We start from the raw sequence: 19968 nt of genomic DNA, 5'->3' as shown, positions 1-19968 counted from the left end.
ATCCCAACACTTTGAGAGGCTGAGGTGGGCGGATCACCTGAGGTCAGGAGTTCACGACCAGCCTGGCCAACATGGTAAAACCCTATCTCTACTGAAAATACAAAAATGAGCCAGGCATGGTGGTTCACACCTGTAATCCCAGCTACTTGGGAGGCTGACGCATGAGAATTGCTTGAACCCAGGAGATGGAGATTTCATTAAGCCAAGATCATGCCACTGCACTCCAGCCTGGGCGACAGACAGAGTGAGACTCTGTTTTGAAAAAAAAAAACCACCACCAACAAAAAAAATGAGCAGTCCTTATAAGTCCCCAAGAAACCATGTGGCCCCTCTGCAGCCCACTCAGGTTACTCCCTTTCATCGCCCCTCCCCAAGTAGATGACATCTTGAAGAAAGACCCTGTTCACAAGGGCACGAATTTCCTTTGGTGGTTGCAGAGGTAACTGCTGCTTCTTAAGCCAGCCCATTCAGGAGAAATTAGAGCCATGCCTGCTCCTACCCGGAGTGTCCTGCAGGGGCAGGGTCTTGGGAGTGCTCAGACCTGACCAGAACAGGCTGTACTGGTCTCAGTGTCAGCACAAAACCAGCACTGACAGCTTCAGGCCAAGAGCCTGGTACTCTGCTCCCAAGGGCCTGGTTCATGCACTCCCCTGCTTGGCTGTACCCTATAAACCAACCAGAAGCCTGGACCACACTGGCTGTTCCATGCCCACTGGGGTGAGAGAAACACCTTGCATCCCTGGGTTCCCTCAGTGCTAAAAGGGCAGCCACTACTCTGCCCTGTGGATGGTGCCCCTCCCATCACAGGGCCCTTTTAAGGCATTGGACTTCCAAAGCAGTGTTGTTGCAGGTAATTAAAGGGTTTTAATTAAATTAGGATCCCATCTGGCTGGGATCATTCAGGCCCTTAATGAGGATTGTGTGTCACCAACAGCAGAATGTAGATGGGACTCAGAGGTGTCAGGGACGAATTTGGGGACTAAGGCCTTTCAGGGCTAGAGAATCCTCCTGAGCCCTTCCAGGGCTCCCAACAATACGGTAGCAACTTGTTTGCTACTCCCCTCAAAATAGAGGCTGTGTGCCTTGAGACAGGGAGGAGGACCAGAGCCTTCCATGTTTATTCTTGCCCGTGAGTCTATAAAACCTCTCTGGTGTGTGCCAAGATGTAAGCATTATCTCAGTTCCACAGATGAGGAAACTGAGGCCATGTAAGTAAAGTGCCCAAATACATCCACTGACTTAGGAGGAGCTAGAATTAACTGCAAGAAAGGGAAACCCAAAGCATAGTGACTTAAATAAGATAGAACTGGCTGGGCACGGTGGCTCACGCCTGTAATCCCAGCACTTTGGGAGGCCGAGACGGGTGTATCACGAAGTCGGGAGATTGAGACCATCCTGGCTAACATGGTGAAACCCCGTCTCTACTAAAAATACAAAAAAAATTAGCCAGGCGTGGTAGCAGGCGCCTGTAGTCCCAGCTACTCGGGAGGTTGAGGAAGGAGAATGGCGTGAACCCGGGAGGCGGAGCTTGCAGTGAGCCAAGATCACGCCACTGCACTCCAGCCTGGGCGATAGAGCGAGACTCCGTTTCAAAAAAAAAAAAAAATTGTTTTTGATTTTTCTCTTACATAAAAGTCTGAAGGCAGGCAGCCTAGGGCTGGTATGGTATTTCTTTTTTTTTAATTGAGACAGAGTCTCACTCTTCTGCCCAGGCTGGAGTGCAGTGGTGCAATCTTAGCTCACTGCAACCCCTCCCTGGCCCCCTGGCCCCCCGACCCCCCACTCCCCCACCCCTCACTCCCCCACATCCCCATCCCCCCTCTCCCGTTCAAGCGATTCTCCTGCCTCAGCGTCCCCAGTAGATGGGATTACAGGCGCCTGCCACCACACCTGGCTAATTGTACTTTTAGTAGAGACGAGGTTTCGCCATGTTGGGCAGGCTGATCTAGAACTCCTGACCTCAGGTGATCCACCTGCCTCGGCCTCCCAAAAGTGCTAGGATTACAGGCATGAACCACCACGCCTGGCCCTGGTATGGTATTTCTATTCCACAACATTCCCAGGGACCAAGACTTCTTCCAACTCACTGCTCTGCCACCTCTAGGGTGTGGCTCTTACCGCCGGTCTAAGATGGCAGCAGTCTCGTACCTATTCCAGGCTGCAGGATAGAGGGTGGAACAAAGGGACGAAGAGTGCACATCAGCTGTCTGACAATTTCTGGAAGGTGCCACCTAAACCTTTGGCTTAAATGTCACTGGCCAGATCTTAGTCACATGACTACATCTAGGGAGGCTGAGAAATGCAGTAGTTATTTCAGGCAGCCACATGCCCAGCTAAAATCAGAGAATCCCATTACTATGGAGAAAGGGAAAATGGGTATTATGGGACAATTAGAAATCTTTGCCACATGCATGATGGGGTGGAACCAGGATAGGAACCTAGGTCTCCTACCTCCAGCCTGGGACCCTTTCCCCTGTCCACACCAGGAGCAAGGCCAAGGTTAACAACAACCCATCTTAGAAAAAAAAAGACAGGAGGAAGTAACATTTATTGAGCAACTCATTTAATTTTCCTAACAATACGCCAAGGTAAGCAAAGCCCTAGTTTTTTATCTAAGGAGGCTCTGGGAAATTATGTCATTTGTCCAAAGCCACACGTCTAATAAATTACAGACCCAGGATGAGGACCCAGCTATATCTTCCTGCAACACCTGTGTTGCCAGTTTATTGGCAGCCTCTGCAGTTCAGGAGGACCTAGCTTGTCCCTTGGGACCACCTGACCAGGTGGCCTGGGATGAGGAACTGGGAGGCCTTGAACTAGGCATCCTTCACTTGAATTATCAGGTCAGCCTTTGAGCCTGGGAGACCAACAGGAGACAGGGGCCCTATGGAATCACAACCCAGGTGAGTGCCAGGTCTCTGCTGGCATTTGTGCCTTGGTGATGGTGCCAGCTGCCACTCCAAGACTTTGGCATAATTGGCAGGTGCCGCCCCCACCCCATCTTGCCTCTGCCTGGCGGGGCTAATGGTGCCTCTCCTTACCCATCACCCCAGCCCCCGGTTCTCCTGGCAGTACCACAGGACTCGGAATCTTTGGAAGTAACATTTCTGTCTCCCACTCCCAGCGATGACACTGGATCACTTCCCAACACAGAGCAACTGTTTCATTGTGTCTCTACAATCCCTCCTGCACATACTCACTCGATGATCCCAGCACCTGGTCACCCCTCCCTGCCCTTCAGCTGCCTCCGTCCCCATAAACACTCCCCCAGGATCCCTGCCACCCACCCACCAGGTGCATCTCGAGCAATGGGCCTCGCCACCTGAATCTGCCACAATGCAAGGTCACCAGCATTCCTGCCAAGGATGGGGAACAGGGTGACTCAGTTCCCGCTTGCTCATCCCAGGAAAGGGAAGGGGGGAAGGGGGGGAAGGGACCTAGATATTCATTTGCTTTTGCCTTAAGCTTCATCGAGAAGGAGACTCGGGCATTGCTACCAGTTGACCTAACGGGTAATCCCCCTTATTAGCTTCACAGAGTGCTAGGAGATTCACCCTACTTGAGAAAGGAATGCTGAGACCCAGACAGCGCCTTTGAGCAAAGCTGAAGGGCAGAGGCAGCCTCCAGGTGCTCTGATGCCTAGGAAAAGGCAAGCTGTCCCCCTCCCATCCATAGCACAGTTCTTGCCCTCAGGGAGACTCCAGTCTGATGAGGGGAGGCATAGCTTCTGCCCTCAGGGACCCCCAGTCTAAGGGGCCATCCAGCCCCTGACATCAGGGTGTCCTCAGTCTGATGAGGGAGGCATGGCCCCCGGCCCTAGGTGTTCCCCAGCCTGATGGGGAGATCCAAGCTGTGTCCTTAAAGAACCCCCAGCCTGGTAAACTTGTCCCAGAGGCTCCACTGATGGAGGAGACAAGGCCCCCGGCAGCCCCCAGCTGGGCTGAGGGGTTAGGGTGGAGGACCACGGGACCGCTAAACGGTCTGAGGGCATTTCAGACTGCCTTGAAGGGCAGTGGATGGGGAAGGTCAACGGGTTGGAGTGTGAGTAGGACCTGGCCCTTTGGGGTCTGGGCAGAGTGGGGACAGGTTTCTTCAGAGGAATCTCCTGTGAGTGTGTGCATGGCAAGAGTGGGAGGCCAGCGCACTTCGTCGTGATGGTGGGGGGGCATCACCATGGGGACACTGCTCGCCAATGGGGCAGAGGTGACGTCTTCTTAGCCAGAGGAAGTTGGATGGACCCCTTGCCCTTGTGAGGACCAAGCGGGCACAGAAGTATCTGGCAAGAACAGTAGGGACCAGAGGGCTATTCCAAAGAATTAAGGTTTGGGAGGAAATCTGTTAGCGAAGTCCTAGCTGAGGAGAGCAGCCAGGCTACTGGGGAAGGTGGAAAGGAGGGATGAGGCGGCAGTGTGCATGAGGGTGAAATGAAGTTATTAAAATGAATCCATCCCTGGTGCAGGCAGAACTGTGTGCCAGGAAGGCCGGGCCCTCCAGCTGTCGCCAGCATCTGGCTCTCCACAGGAGGAGAGGAGCAGGAGGGGGGTCAAAGTGCCCCCAGTGCCTGCTGAGAGTTCAGCCAGGGGAGGTGGGGAGGGCGCCCAGGGCCTCTGGCCCCATTGCTTCCTCCTCCTTCCTGCAGTCTCCACAGCACTGTGGGAGGCTGAACGGCACACGGTGGGTGTCCATTGGTGGGCTGCTCCAGTGCCAGCAGTCTCAAGCCTCCAGGGTGGGGAGCGGAGGGTGGTCTGGAGGAGGGGTGTGTGTCTCACATCTCCACTCAGGAGAGACGGCCCCTGGAAGCATGATGTGGGGGAAACAAGCTGGGTCATTTCCTACAAGGTGGGCTGTAACCAGATGGCTTCTCAGCCCCACCCAACTCTGCGCTGCAGTATGAGGGGACCAGTTTGCGCGGAGCGCTGGTGGGCAGGGGCGAAAGGTGGGGGGTGGCAAGCCCATCTTACCTTACTGCCAGGACTCTCCTCTCCTCAAGAGGGCCCAAAGGGCCCTGAGTGCTGCCCTCCCAAGAGAGCCGACTTAGAATGACCTCCAGAAGGCACTGTGACCTTGGTAGTGTCTTCCCTTCACAGAGTCCCAAAGGGCCCAACTAACTCCCAGACAAGGTGCCACTGGCAGCTGGCCATTCTGAGGCCTCTTACTAGCTGCAGGAGGGGAGTGACTGACGCAGGCCCTGTGTCCACACCCCACTCCAGCCTGTTCCTTCACTGGCATGTGGTCAGATTGAAAATCCAATACAATAGCCCCGATTCTCTGAAAGGCCCCTTCCCCAGGAGAAGCAGATGGAAATTACAGCTGGGAAATCACATCCGAGGTGTCTCCCCCTCCTGCGGAGCCATAGCCAGAGATGAACTTCAAGGTCCTTTGAGTGGGTCTCCCAGCATGGGCCCTGGAGCAGCAGCATCAGCATAGACCTGGGCACTCGTTAGAAATTCTAATTCTTAGGCCCCACCCAGGCCTGCTGAATTAGAAATGTGGGTAGGACCCAGAAATCTGTGTGTTAACAAACCCTCTGGGTGATCCGCGTTTGAGAACCCCTGGTCTGGGCAAGCCCTTCATGTCATAGAGGAAGAAACAAAGAAAGAAAGCCAGAGAGGAGAATGGACATGGCCAAGGCCACGCAGCAAAATGACGGGGCTAGGACCCTGCTGGGTCTGCAGATGGCAGTTCAGGGAGGACACCAAGGAACACCCTCATTGGCCCATTCTACCTGCTAGCTCTCCCTCCCTGAGCTGTTCTTGAAGATGCTACGCCCTCCTCCAGCACCGAGCCCAGGGTGTTTGCTCAAGTTTCCTCGTGGGGGATCAGACAGCTTGGAACCGGGGCTGGAGAGGGAAGCCCTGAGCCCTCAGCAAACATCAGCGCCAAGGGCGGTTGGATCCCTGCCACTTGGGTCTCAAGCAAATGTCCTGCGGCCATCAGAGAAATTCTTCCTGGACCAAGGGATGCCTGAGGCCCTTTCCTTGGACAACTCTGACTCCAGTGCCCCGGGGCAAGCTTTATTTCCTGCTCCAAGAACACGATTCTTCACACAAAAGTCAGCAATCAGCGGTTTCACAAGACTTCCCTCCCCTCCCCCCACCCACAGACAGACACACAGAACAGATCCAGCACATGCTCTGCGGCCCGGCCCCGCCCCACCCGTGCCCGCTGCTGAGAGGGCGGCGCCATCCAGATCCGGGAGAACCCCGGTCTGACAGGTGAGGCTGACTGTTGAGGGACCCCTCTCCGGGACATGGATGCTCCCAGAGGAGCCAGCAGGGGTTGGGGTGGAAGAGGGACACACAGCACGCGGATGGGCTGTGGCCTTAGTGTGGGAGGACCACAATCGTCCTGTCTTAGCTTAAGGATGGGTGTGCCATCAGCAATGGGTGGTACAGGGGGAGTACTGGCAGAAGAGGGAATTTTGGAAAGGGGTGGCCTGGCTGGAGACAGATGGTCAATCTGTCAAGACATCAAAGACCCCAGGGTTGCCACTTCAGCCTCATGCCATGCTCAGCACACGACAAGGGGCTGAGGGCGCCCACTAGGCAGGGCTGGAGAGCTCCTCTGGCCCCACCCCACCCTGCTGACTGGCTCCTAGGAAGCCCTCTCAGCCATCCATCCTAAGTTGACAGGCTGTCCACACTGATGAAATCTCCCCCTCCCTGTTGCTATCTTTCCTCAGGATGGCAAGAACCAAGGGCTTAGCTTCCTCCCATGACTTGATCTGGGGCCACACTGATCGGCCTGCCCACAGGCCTCGGGGACCCAGCATCTCTCTGTGGCTCCGTGGCAAAGCCCTGTGAGGCTGCACAGAGAGCCCACTCCTCCTCCAGTGCTCCTGTGATCTAGTCACTCCACAGCTTCAGGTTGGGACCAGCACTTGGGACCCTTTCTCTGCCACTTGAGACTTGGCCCTGGCCCCACTTGGCATCTCCTCGTCTCCACCCCCCTCCCTGCCTGAGGCCCAACCCCTTCCCTGCCCGGTGTCCAGATGGTCTCCTGCATGGGCAGGCCTGTCCTTCCAGCCCTGGCCTGGCCTCTGTGGCCTGCCCCGGGTCACCCAGATGGGTAGTAGGGGGTATCACTATGGTAGTTGTAATCTGGGCACACCTTCTGGACCAGCCGATAGTCCGTGCTGTAGAAGGCGATGTAGACACAGACGACTTTGAAGGGCTGGGAGCAGCTCCAGGTGGCTGAGCTCTGAGCGTGGTCTCGGGAGCAGATCTTGGCTGGGTCGTGGGTGCAAAGCGAGGTCCGGCGGCCCCGTTCTACCTTCTCCCACTCCATCCGGCAGTTGAAGATTTTGGAGGCCTTGGCTTCGATGAAGATCTGCTGTTCCTGGTGGAACTCTACAGCTTTACTGGGGGGCACGAGGCTGATGGAGATGTTTCCCTGGCCTGTGGCATTGTGTTGGAAGTGGACGCTGAAGGTCCCATTGCCATGGTCCACAATCTTCCCTGTGACGAGCAGGTTCAGGGCCACCGTCTTGATGTTGGAGTAGAAGTCGCCCCAGCCAAAGATTTTCTTCACCTTGGCTGAGGGTGGGGGGCTGTGGTTCGGGCGGTTGGGGGGCTGCCCAAGAATGCCCCAAGCCTCCCCAGGCGGGGCCAGCAGCCCTAGGAGAGTGGAATTGGCCATGGGGCGGGACTTAGGTGAGATGTGGCCCCGCTTCCGAGGCACCCGGGGCCGGGGCTGGCCCTCGTGGTCATCACGCTCAGGGTCCTCTGAGCCGGGAGGACCATCATCCTGGCCACAGATGACCTATGGAGGGAGTTGTGAGTACAGTGAGAGCCCTGTCCCTGGAGGTCCACCACCCCCGCTACCAGCAGTACCCCTGTCCCTGCCACTTCACTCTGACCTGGGTGAGGAGCTCCTGCGTCTTGCCCACTGAAGCTGGGGGGCAAGTGTACACTCTAGCTTGTGTACATCTCAGGTTCTGACAGTTGGGTCACCCCCCCCCCCATTGTCCTTTCCTCACTGTCTTGGCCACTATTCAAATTCAAAGTCTCAAAGACCGACAATAATTCTCTCCAGTGAACTGTGGCACCAGGGACAACGGCTCCTACCCCTAGGGAGTCCCCAGTCTGATGGGGGAAGCCCAGCTTCTGATCTTGGGGAGCCCCCATCTAATTGCAGAAGCATCATCCCTGTGCTGACAGAGCCCCCAATTTGATAGGAAGTAGAATCCCTGCCTCTGTGAAATCCCCAGGCTGATGGGGGAGGCATAATCTCTGCTCTGAAACAGCCCCGAGTCAGACAGGGAAGCACCATTCTTATCCTGGGAGAGCCCCTGGTTTGACAGGAGAGGCCAGCCCCTGCCTTTTGGGACTTCCTAGTCTGTTGGGTAAGACACCGTCCCTACCCTAGGATAATTTCTACCCTTAGATGCAAAGAGAACCACCAGACAATGGAATAAGAAAGCAGAACACAGTGTAATTCTCAAGCACGAATATAGTTTAGGTTTGGCAAGAGAACTAGGGGAGACCCGGAGTGAATGCCACACCCAGGATGGCCATGGGAATGGAAAGCCAAACACCTCTCCAGGGTACACTGATGATGACATGCCACGATGTTACTTGCATTCTGAGGTAGGAGTTCTTATTCCCATTTCACAGATAAGGACACTGGGGCTCAGAGATTACAACACTACAAGGCTGAGTTCACATAGGGTCAGCCCTTCCTTTACACTCCACACTCCTGGCCTCACAGATCAGATGTGTCTTTTTGAAAGGGTTTTTATCCAGGCGCCATCCGCCTCTGGAATCTGCAGGGGCTCATCCTCCCTCTGCTGGATCAGCTGTGGTGACAACCCACACCTGGGAGATTCCTGGAGGTGCCACAGGGAGAGTGGGACAGCAGTGGGGGGCATCAGGGGGTTGACAGGGCTTCCTGAGGCGCAGCCTGGCTGTGGGTTTGCTCAGCTTTTGAAAGCAACCACTTGCCCTAGGTGTCTTTACTACCAGCACCGGGGGGCATCTGGATTTGGTGGTGACACTGGGGTGGGGACAGTAGGGTTCCAAGGGGCTGTGGGGTCCTCATGCCTGTGTTCTGGCCTGGGTGTTGCCGGCAGCTGTGTGCTGTGGCCGAGTCTGTCTCTGCCCCACAGTTCAGGCTGGCCCTGACTGCCAGGCCCCAGAGGTGGGGTAGAGGGACGGCTAGGACGGGAGGCTCGGGGTCTGGGTCTAGGGCTGCAGACCTGTAGGTACTTGCTCCTGAGGGTCACGGCTGAGTGGCTGGAGGGTAAAGGTGGGGCCGTGAGAAGGGAAGGGCTCTTCCCACAGTGGCATGGGGCGGTGGCAAGGGGCTTGTTGATTAAAGGGGCAGGTCCAGATGTGGGGCTGAGGCTTCACGACAGTATTGCGGGGAGGGTCAGCGGGCGCTCGGTCGGAGGGGAGTTAAGCCACGGGCTGGGTTCGGGGAGGGGATCCCCGGCGCCCTGGGTCGCCGAGAAGCCGCGGAGCCGGCGCACGGGGAGCGGGCTCTGGGCGCTCCGCTCAGCTGCCGCGAGTGCCTGGGGCGGGAGCCGCCTGCCCAAGTCCTGTGGGGCTCCGGCTGCGCGCAGCCGGGAGAGCAGAGGAAAACAACAGGCGGGGAGGGAGGGAGCGGGAGGGAAGGCGGGAGGGGAGGGACGCGGGGGCCGCCCCCCGCCTGGACCGGCTCTGTGCTCTGGGGGACCCAGAACCCGAGGCTCTCTGAGTCCCAGAGGTCAGGGGAAAAGCCTGCAGGTCACCAGCTCCACGACCCGCGCCCCACTCGCCCCCGGCTTCAGCGGTCCTGAGGCTCTGGGAAGGGGTAGGGTAACCCTGGCGACCCGGCTCCAGGCCTTTTTCCGAGCGCTGGTCGCACCTCCAGCCACCCGCTGCGGAGTGGGTGGGCCAGCCAAGCACCCTCTCCCCGCCCCTATTAACCCTATCTGTCCAGTCTCCGGCCTCGGACCCGCCCTCTCCCCCAGCCTCCAGTCTTCCCCGCCATCCCCGGGATGTCGGGGGAAGGGAGAAAGTTTCAGGGCTCGCAAGCTTCCCGCGCTCTCCCCCGATCCTCCGGGCCCCCGCCCCTCTGCGCAGCTCCCCTCGGACCACTCACCAGATAGAGGCTACCCTGCACCAGGAACACGAAGCAGCAGCGAGTCAGTTGCATCTTCCTCCTCCGCTCTCGTCCCCTCGCTCTCCCCTTCTCTTTTCGGGGTCCCAGGCCTCCTTCCCCTTCCTGCTCCTTCAGGCGCGCCGTCCCATGCTCCAGTCCCCGGCGGCCCGCGGCCCTCCCCTCAGCGGGTCGCCCAGGGCCGACCCCGCCCCCTTCGGTCCAGCTGTGCAGCCGCCGCCCCCCTCCCCTGGTCCAGCTGCGCGCGGCACGGCCCCCGCTCGAGGTCCCAGATGTGCGCCCCGAGCGCCTCGAAGGGCCCCAGCTGCGCCGTGGCTCTGCTGCTCCAGATCTGCGCTCGGCGCCCCCCTCGGCTCCAGCGGCGCCGCTCTCGCCCAGATGTGCTGGGGACCTGCGCGCGCGCCCGTCCTTGGTGCTAATTCCCCAAACCAGGCTGCTCCACCCGCCCCGTCGCGGCGCGCCCCCTGGCGGACGCCCCCAGCCGCGCGGAGCCCCGGCCGCCCGCTCCCCGCGCTGCGCTGCGCCCCGCCAGACTAGAGCGCTCCTGGCGCCCAGGCGGCTCCCGCTTCCTCGTCCCTCCCACCGGCGGCGGCGGCGGCGGCGGCAGGTACAGTGAGCCCAGCCGGTACCTCCGGAGTTAACTCCTCCCCTGCCGGCCCGCAGCCCGGGGACCTAGGACGCCGGCTCTCCAGCCAGGAGAGGACGGCACGCGGGGGCGGAGTAGCTCTTGGAGAGGAAGGGAGAGGGTGGTGGCCAGGGGATACGGACCCTACCGTTTCCACCTCTTTTGCAGGGCGCCCGTTCCCCGGGAGCGGGCAGCAAGAATCGGCTGCCCTGCCCCCAACTCAGGAGTCCTGGAATTAAGAAAGATCCTTTTTTTAAAAAACCCATTCTAAGAGCCAAAACCTGTGCTGAGGGAAGTCCTTCTGGGTGTCTAGCCTGCACTCCTTTTGTTATGATGTCTGCTCCTTCCCTCTTCTACTTTACTTGGAGGGGCTGAGATAATCCCTGGACCTTCTCGGTCCAGCCACTGTGACAGGAAGTATTTGGCTGGGCCCCTGGGCTGAAAAGGCTGTTAGGGGCCAGGCTAGATTCTGGGGCCGGGGGCAGGTCCTGAGAAGCTGGAGAGTGAGGGGAGCAAGGCCTTCCTGGAGCCTGTCCCTTCATTATTCACTACTTACCCTCTCTATGCCACAGGGGTCACCAGGCCGAGAGTGGCTCCTGTCCCAGTGGGGTCTCTGCAAACCTCCAGGGCAAGGAGGAAGAACACGACCCTGATCTGAGATTCCCAAAGATGGGGGCCCATCCTCCATCACCCCCACTCCATATCTTCAGGTCTCCCTCCTGGAATTCCAGGGTCCCTTTAGTCTGTAGAAAAATGAAAGGTCAAGTCCTGGCATCCCTTGGAGGCTATGAAGGTGAGGAGGCACCCCATCATTTGAAGTGGTCCCAGCTTGGGCTGGGCCCAAGGAGCACGGTGGGTGGGCACTCTGCTCTGTGGCCCTCCAAGGCCCAGCTTGGTCCCGTGGCTGCAACCCCGGCACGCACCCAGCCTCCTCCCCCACCATCTGCCAGGCGGGTGCGCGGGGAATGCAGATGAATCTTAATATCAGCCTGGGCCAAGTGCGATGAGGGAGACAGATTCTGCAAAACCCAGACAGCATCACAGAGCCCCCTGCATTTCCAGGCACCCTGGGCCATACCAAGATGCAACAGCTCTTTCTTGGTGTTGGTGGGGGGTGGGGTGGGTGGTGGCGTGCATGTCTAGTCAAAGACCCCCCCAAAGCCGGGGAGGCAGGAACAGGCAAATCTTTGTTTGGCCTCTAAGCCTCTGGTCTGGCTGGGAGGGAGAAGCTGTTGGCCTGAGTGTGGGCAGCTGGTTCCGGCGCTCAGCTAGGCAGGGGCGTAGCTGGGCCCACTCCTTGTCTGGTTTCCAGAAGGTCCTGTCCCTAGGAGAGCTGTGTGGCCCAGCAGAAAGAGCACAGGTTTTCAGGCCAGACAGTCCCAGATTCTGTTCCAGACCTGGCTGTGTGACCTTGGGCAGGTTACTTTGGTTCTCTGATGTCCGTTTCCTGATCTGTTCTTGCAAGAACCAAATGAGACAAAATGTGCAAACAAAGCGCAGGCACAATGGCTGGTGGGCAGTCGTAGGAGTGCAGTAAACGGAAGTTCTCGCTCCTCCACTTCCCACACATTTGCTCCGGCTGCTCCTCCTGCCAGGCTTGCCCTTACTCCCCTCTTGGTCATTTCTGGCTCTCACTTTGTTCAAGTTTCCCCTCCGCATTTATCCATCACCCACTGGCCGAGCCTGTCCGCCGTGCCAGGCGCCAGGCCAGGGGTTGAGATAGAGATGAATGGGACACCCTCCCTGCCCTCAAGGATCTCATCGGCAAGTGTGGAACAGAGACATGAAAATCGATAATTGTAACTCAGTATGGTGAGTGGAATAACAGATCCTTGAACAAGGAAGGCATATGGATGCACTGAGGAAGCTGGGGGCAGGGGCGAGAGGGTCAGAGATGGCTTCCTGGAGGAGGTGATACTGCAGTTGTGAGGAAGAGCCTGTCTGGCAAGGGCTATTCCTGGCAGAGGGCACTGAATGACTAAAGGTCTGGAGGCTGGAACTGGAAGCAGTTTGCTGTTCAGGGAGCACAGAGCGGGAGGAGGGGAGGCTGGGACCAGATGATGGAGGGTCAAGGGGTTGAGATCTTTGTTTATGAGGAATCTTTGAAGGATTTTAAGGGGGCTGTGATTATAGTTAGATTTGCATTTTAAAAGCTTTTGGAGAATTCCCTGGACTAGAGGGAGGGAGAGGAGAGGAAATCATTAGGAGACAAATGCAGTGGTTTGGGGGTGGGGGGCAGGGAGACTGAAGGCATCTTTAGGAGGCAAAATGATCAGGATTTGGTTGTTGCTGTGGTGAGGCAGGAAGGGAGAGAAGGAGTCAGGTGTGACACCCAGTTCCCTGGCTTGAGCAACAGGCTGGCTAGTTGATGAGGTGGGTACCATAGATGGGAGGAGAGGGATGGGGTCTGTGGTGAGGGTGGGAGGGTCAGCTTTCGCCATGTCAAGTCTGGGTGCTGTCGGCCACCCAAGGGCAGGAGAAAGTCTAGCCTGGGGTGCTAGAGGTATGGAGGGTGCCAGAGGAGCACTGGGCACCCTGGCATTTAAGGTAAGGTGGTCAGAGGAAAAGAACCCCCAGAGGATTCCAGGGAGGAACAGGGAGCCAGGGGCTAGGAGGACAGGTGGGGCTGATCCCGAAGCCACTGGAGAAGTGGGGTTCTCACGCTCAAGGTGCCAAGCAGAGTGGACACAGTGCGGAGTGTGCATCATGCAGATTCTGGGGTCCCATCCCCAGGGAGCCTTAGTTGGTAGACAGGAACCGAGGACTACATATTATATAAGCTCCTGCCCCTACCCAGGTGATGCTGATGAAGGTGGCCTCTAGATCTGGGTGTGGGGAGTGTCAGGAAGAGGGGAATGAGCCACAGCAGAGTGACCTGGCAAGGGAGAGACAGAAAAGTGACCACTAGGTTTGGCTGAGGTTTGACAACAACTGTACCCAACCTTGGGCCCTCCAGCTACTCCCAGCGTGGGAAGACAGATCCAAGACACAGTAAACTCTGTGTACCAAGCACACTAACAGCTGTGCTAGAGGTGATGTGTCTGCCATTCAGGTGCACCTCTCCATATTCCTCACCCCTCTCCCCAGCCATGCCCTGCACACACCAGGTGCTCAGTGAAGGGGGCAGAACTGAGCACTTTAGGTCCACCCCTCTGCCTCCAGCCTTCCCTGCACCCATTTGCACCCTGGATGGGGGTGGCTGGGCTTTTGCTGAGCACCTCTGATGCTTTCACCTGCTTCCCTCTCACCCTTGGAAGAATCCTATCTACACTGCTTCCTTCCTCCATGCTTCCCCAGTGCTGCCGGAAGGAAAACAACGCGACACAGTGGGCACCTGAGCAGTGCCTCATGAATGAATGGGAAATGGGGTTCCTAATGGCTTGAAAGGCAGAGAGAGTGATGCCCTTGAGCTAGCTGCAGTGGAGAGGTCTGGGGGAGAGGCAAGAGTAGATAGATCATTATTGTTGTTAATCTCTCATGTTTAGCAGGCAATTTGCAATTTTAAAGTGTTAGGATAGAGTGCTATGTATAGGGTTCCAAGGGGGCCTGGAGGGAAACCCTAATTCAAATGAGGGGGCGATGGACAGATTGCAGAGAGATTAATCTTAAATGACGTGTGGATCTGCCCAGGTGGGAGGGAATGGAAAGAACCTTCCAGGCAGAGGAAGCAACTCTTGCAAAGGCCAGAGATGAAAGAAAGCCTGGGAATGGGGTTCTGATGAGGACGAGATGAAAGATTCATTTGTTCCACAAATACTTACCAAGTGTCTACTTTTATGTCCGGTCCTGGGCTGGTGTGGAGGTACAGTGTGGACAGGGGAGACTGCAGTCCTATTTGCATGGAGAATTTGGGCTATGGGAGAGACAGACATTAAATAACTGAGCACATGAAAACATAAGCTCTGAGATGTGTTGGCAAGAGGTACGGGGGAAGAAGAACAGCAAATTCCAAACAAGAGAGAAACTAAGGAGGGATCCTAATTTACCTGGGAGGGGTCAGGGAATGCCTCTGCAAGAATGTGACCTTTCAGCTGGGATCTAAAGGATGAAGAGCTGGACAGAGGGGCTGCACCTGCTGAGACCGTGAGCCTAGGAAGAACTTGGTGCTTTGGAGGAGCTGAAGGGAGCTGAGCTTAGTGAGTGGGGGGAGAGGGACACAACACCGCCAGAGAGGTGGCAGGGGCCAGACCATGCAGGGCTTTACGGGTCTAGCTAAGGGTTTGGGGTTTCATCCTGTGGTTAAGGTGTCTTTGTTTCTGTTTTGATTATGAGGTTTAAACACGGCTCGGATTTGCACTTTAGGAAGATCTCTGGAAAGACCATTCTGGCAGCTGCGTGGAGGGTGGGTCCGAGAGGGTGGGTGAAACTAGAGGCTGGGAGGTGATGGTGGTCTGTATCAGAGCAGAGGCATCTGCTGGGAAGAAGGGATGACCTTGAAAGATGTCTAATGGGTGGAATGGAGAGGGGACAGACTCTAGGACATGAGGGTGAGGAGTCAAAGAGGACCCCCAGCATTCTGGCTTAGGGAGCACAGGTGTGCAGGGGTGATGTGGCATCTCATCCTGGACAGGGGGCCTGCAAGGGGCTTGAGGGTGCTCAGGTGAACAGCAGGGTGCACAATAGAGGTCAGACTGGAGGGACAAGACTGGGAGGTGTGTGAGCCCGGAGAGTCATCTGAGGTGAGTATTGGGAGCTTGTAGAGAGCAGAGCAAAGCCTGGGGAGGCCGCATAGGAAGGGATGAGGAAAGACGGGGAGGACAGGAGCAGGGGGCGAGGGAGCCAGGGGAGCAGAGGAACTTCTGGCCCAGAAGGCCCTAAGGGATGTTGCCACTGACATCCCAGAGCGCACCCTCCTCTGGCCTGAGAGGTCAACATGTCTATCCCCCTGCCTCTCACAGGACCTCACCCGCCAGAAGGGACCTTCTCCTGGCTGTGAGCGCTCCTGCTTGTGCTCTGGTGGAGTGGGGAGGGCGTGGCAGCTGGAGTCCGGCAGCCTGGATTGGGGGCCTCGCTCTCTGTGGCCAGGGTGATCTGGGGGCAGTCTCTCCCCTTCTTGGGCGGTAGCCTCCTCATCTGCAAAGGGGGATCATCCTGCCCGCCTCCTGGGGTGAGGACGTGGCGAGTGTGAGACGGCACGTAGCCGGTAGAAAGTGCTCTGTCCCCAGTGAAGCACTGGCGGGAAGGGGTCGTGCGGGGCTCCTTCTCGCTACACTTCAGTGTCTTCAGAGGTGAGAAGCAAGGGAAGAAAGCAGGGCCTGAGCAGGGCCGCTAGACTGCAGGGCACCTGGCAGGGAGCCAGGGACACCTGGCACCAGGTCAGTGGCTGCCCCCTCGGCCACCTGTCGGCTGGACCCAAGTCGCTGCGGTCCACGCCAGCTCCGCAGGGGGCGATGAAGAGACCAAGCGGGTGTGGCGCGTGGGAGGCGAGTGGCGTCAGCGCGCCACCTGGTGGGCACTCGGGGCGCCTCCTGTGGGCGCTTGGCCCGGGAGAAGGTGAGGCCCCGCCGCGCCCGCCGCGCGCTCTGCTCACTCGCCTGCTGGGGCGCAGACCCTTTCCGCTCCCGGTTTCTGGCGCACAGCGGCGCTTAATAAAGACAACTTAAAAAACGAATGGCGGGCCGGGCGCGGTGGCTCACGCCTGTAATCCCAGCACTCTGGGAGGCCGAGGTGGGCGGATCACCTGAGGTCAGGAGTTCGGGACCAGTCTGGCCAAGATGGCGAAACCCCATCTGTACTAAAAATACAAAAATTAGCCGGGCGTGGGAGCGCGCGCCTGTAATCCCAGCTACGCGGGAGGCTGAGGTAGGAGAATCGCTTCAACCCGGGAGGCAGAGGTTGCAGTGAGCCGAGATCGCGCCATTGCACTCCATCCTGGGTTACAGAGCGAGACGCTGTCTCAAAAAAACAAAACAAAACAAAAACTCAAACAACGATAAAACCGAATGGCAGCCGGGCGCGGTGGCTCACGCCTGTAATCCCAGTATTCTATTTTGGAAGGCCGAGGAAGGTGGATTTCTTGAGCTCAGGAGTTCGAGACCAGCCTGGGCGACACAGGGAGACCCCCCGTCTCTACAAAAAAAAAAAATTATTTATATATATATATACACACACACACCTATATATATTTGTGTGTGTATATATATATTATATATATACATATATTACATATTATATATACATATATAATATATATAATATATTTTATATATTATATAATATATTTTATATATTATATATAATATATTTTTTATATATAATATATAATATATTATATATAATATATTTTATATATATTATATATACTATATTTTATATATATAATATATATACACACACAAATATATATAGGTGTGTGTGTGTATATATATAAATAATTATATTTATTCATATTATATATATATTATATATAAATTATATATAAATAAATAAATAATATATTTATTATATATAATATATTTTATATATAATATATTTTATATATTATATTTATATATTATATATATAATATATATTATATATAATATATTTTATATATTATATATAATATATTTTATATAATATATATAATATATTTTATATAATATATATAATATATTTTATATATTATATATAATATATTTTATATATTATATATAATATATTTTATGTATTATATATAATATATTTTATATATTATATATTATATATAGTGTGTACACACATATATATACACACACACAAATTAGCCGGATGTGGTGGTGCACACCTGTAGTCCCAGCTACTCGGGAGGCTGAAGCGGGAAGATCACTTGAGCCTGGGAGGTCGAGGCTGCAGTGAGCCGTGATAGCGCCACTGCAGTCCTGCCTGGGTGACTGAGAGAGACCTCATCTCTAAAAAAAATTTAAAAACAAAAAAATAAAGCATTTGCTACAGAGAGGCGTTGTTACCAGCCTGACCTTGATCTTTGGAACCAGATCGCCTGGGTCCCCATCCTGGATTTGCCACAGTGTCGTCTGGCAAATTACATCACCTCTCTGTGCCTCAGTTTCTTCGTGGGGATAAGAGTATCCACATTTTAGACTGCTGAGAACAGCGTCTGGCACACAGTAGGTGCTCAGTAAGTGCCGGCTGTTGTTATATTCGCATTCATTTACTCGTTCAGCCACAGACTTCCAAGTGTCGCTGTCGTGCTAGGAGATCGCATCTCTGGAAATAGTCTCGACTGGAGCGGGTCATGGGGTTGGTGCCACTTGGAATACGAAACTGAGCCTCGGGTTCTTTATTTGTGAAACAGATCTATATAACGCGTACGGCGAGAAGTTCCCGCTTCCTTTACACTCAAGCGGCCCAGGGTGGGCGTCCAGGGTCTGGACCCTCTCTGCATACCTGGCCCTCGGGCTTGGCGTGTGTCGCGGCCACAGCGGCCTGAATTCAGGGGCGTGTGCCTCTCTGGACTCCCGATGGACATTGGGGTCAGAGCGCCAAGTGGCAGCCATCTCCGGACGTCCTTGGCCACCCTGCCAGTCCTGCCCAGGCCCTTCAGCCAGTCCCGAGGCTGACAGTTCCCCTGGCGTCCAGACCGGCCTGACTGTGCCTTTCATTTCCAGGCTGGTGGTGACGCCTGGCGGTGGCGGGAGGGATAACCGCGACCTCCACTCCTTTCCAGGAACCCCCACTGAGAAGCTCCTCTCTGTGGGGCACCTCTGGGCGCCAGTGAATGGTGGCGGAGAGGAGCAGCAGACACTGTCAGGAGGACCCACGAGGTAGAAGGGCCTCTCACAGCAGCGCTGACCTGAGCTTCTACTGGGGGGATGGAATCTAGGATCTTCTGATTCTACATCAGACGAGAGGTGGAGGTAGGGGGAGTGGAGGGGCACCCAGCAAGGGGCCCAGCTGCGGTGGACGCCAGAAGAGATCTTAGAGAGTTCGAAGGGAAGACTTCCCGAGTTCCTTCCTCCACCCCTTTTGGGGTCATCATTGTCCTCCTTTAGTGCCCCAGCCTCTTAAGATTTCAATGAGGCAATGGAGGGCAGTACATGGCAGGGAAATTGCCCTGAGGGTGGCTGAAGCCTGATTGGGGTCCCAGGCCCGGCACTCTCTGGAGGGCTCAGTGGCAGCCACCAGGCCCAAAGGACCAGCAGAGGACTGAGCAAAGGAGCAGGAGGGATGCCACCTGGAAAGCACTTCTGACCCCTGCTCATCCCTGGACCACCAGGGAGGCATGGCTGCCACAACCACTTCATGCAAACTCAGCACCTGCCAGCTCCAGGGGTGCGGGGGCTGGTGAGGTGCCCGACCTTGGCCCATGGGCGCAGCCTACTCACTCCTGAACACCCGGCCTGAGGTCACCTGCCTCCGGACACACTGACTCCCCCAAGTCAAGGTATATAAATTGGGTACTAGACACATCCTGTCCTAGAAATATGTGAACCCCTGTGGTCCCTACTCCACGAAGGGCCCGATGCTTCCCCTCGTTAGAATCTCGGTGCCAGCTTTGCCTCTGGTCTCTGTCCCCAGTACTCAATTGCATCTTCCTCTCCACCCTTTTGTAGGCTTCAGGTCTCCATCATTGCTTCTCGGAACCACAGCAGCCTCTGATTGGTCTCTCCTGGCCCCTCCTTATCCCACAGCCAGAGGGAGATCTAGTTCTAAGATGCAAACTAGACAGTGCCCCTCTTCTGGTTCGAATGCTGGAGGGCTTTTCATGGCCCCAAACTAGCCAAGGCATATTCACTAAACACTCCCCACATTCTCTCACTGAGTTGCGCAACCCAATGAGGTAGGTCCTGTTATTGCCACATGTGACAGGTGAGAGAACTGAGGCATAGGAAAAGGAGGTGACTTTCCCAAGGACTTCTACCGAGTGCTCCTTAGAGCTGGGGTTTGAACCCAGGCAGCCTGGATGCGGGCACCCTTGGTTTTCCCATGCCAGCGTTTCCTGAAATGAGGTAGGCATGCATTGGCTGGGAGAGTCCTCTCTCTGTTTTAAAATAGTACAAATGAACATTTTAAATTTTAATAGAAATATGTTTCTTTTTAAAGGCTTTTCTTCTATTTTGTTTCTGGCAAGGGATACTGGTTTCTCATTTATGGGAATGATACAAAATGTTCCTTTAAAATACATTTATTTTGAGGAAAAAAAAAGTAGTTGATTGAAAGAAAAGCACTAAGTACGTGCGAGCACAGGTGGAATGTTGGTGTGGAAGAAGGAGTGCTGGCATCCTTATCGCAACATACTGCCTCTCAGGAGAGAGTCCAAACCC

The 19968-nt window shown here is 55.5% G+C and overlaps 1 protein-coding gene and 1 long non-coding RNA gene across 2 annotated transcripts in view, besides 4 other annotated features; one reads left to right on the top strand and one right to left on the bottom strand.

Moving 5' to 3' along the window:
- Positions 1-2529: 2529 nt before the first annotated feature.
- Positions 2530-10486, bottom strand: NXPH3 (neurexophilin 3). Its single transcript, NM_007225.4, has 2 exons — positions 10084-10486; positions 2530-7761 (listed from the first exon to the last, which is right to left on the bottom strand). The coding sequence occupies exons 1-2, from the start codon at positions 10135-10137 to the stop codon at positions 7057-7059; spliced, it is 759 nt and encodes a 252-aa protein (NP_009156.2). The 5' UTR covers positions 10138-10486; the 3' UTR covers positions 2530-7056.
- Positions 4157-4710: an enhancer, noted in NCBI's record as "H3K27ac-H3K4me1 hESC enhancer chr17:47659009-47659562 (GRCh37/hg19 assembly coordinates)". NCBI's record gives its function as "activates a minimal SCP1, AML or CMV promoter by ChIP-STARR-seq in primed H9 embryonic stem cells {active_cell/tissue: H9 hESC(primed)}" and the evidence as "EXISTENCE:reporter gene assay evidence [ECO:0000049][PMID:30033119]".
- Positions 9070-9600: an enhancer, noted in NCBI's record as "H3K4me1 hESC enhancer chr17:47654119-47654649 (GRCh37/hg19 assembly coordinates)". NCBI's record gives its function as "activates a minimal SCP1, AML or CMV promoter by ChIP-STARR-seq in primed H9 embryonic stem cells {active_cell/tissue: H9 hESC(primed)}" and the evidence as "EXISTENCE:reporter gene assay evidence [ECO:0000049][PMID:30033119]".
- Positions 9444-9493: a silencer, noted in NCBI's record as "silent region_8673". NCBI's record gives its function as "represses an Ori minimal core promoter by ATAC-STARR-seq in GM12878 lymphoblastoid cells {active_cell/tissue: GM12878}" and the evidence as "EXISTENCE:reporter gene assay evidence [ECO:0000049][PMID:35858748]".
- Positions 10445-10704: a silencer, noted in NCBI's record as "silent region_8672". NCBI's record gives its function as "represses an Ori minimal core promoter by ATAC-STARR-seq in GM12878 lymphoblastoid cells {active_cell/tissue: GM12878}" and the evidence as "EXISTENCE:reporter gene assay evidence [ECO:0000049][PMID:35858748]".
- Positions 12293-19968, top strand: part of NGFR-AS1 (NGFR antisense RNA 1) — a 68408-nt gene continuing 60732 nt past the window's right edge. Inside the window, exon 1 of the long non-coding RNA NR_103773.1 lies at positions 12293-12538. This is a non-coding gene — a long non-coding RNA (NGFR antisense RNA 1). The remainder of the gene's footprint in view (positions 12539-19968) is intronic.

This window comes from Homo sapiens, chromosome 17, assembly GCF_000001405.40.
Source record: "Homo sapiens chromosome 17, GRCh38.p14 Primary Assembly".
Taxonomy (NCBI): domain Eukaryota; kingdom Metazoa; phylum Chordata; class Mammalia; order Primates; family Hominidae; genus Homo; species Homo sapiens.
The sequence above is the reverse complement of the archived record's forward strand: the minus strand, read 5'-3'. Positions and strand labels throughout refer to the sequence as shown.

Bases quoted from the DNA above. Each gene is read 5' to 3' on its own strand.
- NXPH3 (NM_007225.4), bottom strand. From the start codon at position 10,137: ATGCAACTGACTCGCTGCTGCTTCGTGTTCCTGGTGCAGGGTAGCCTC. The intron at 7,762-10,083 runs GTGAGTGGTCCG...CTCCCTCCATAG, and splicing joins TGCAGGGTAGCCTCTATCTG to GTCATCTGTGGCCAGGATGA.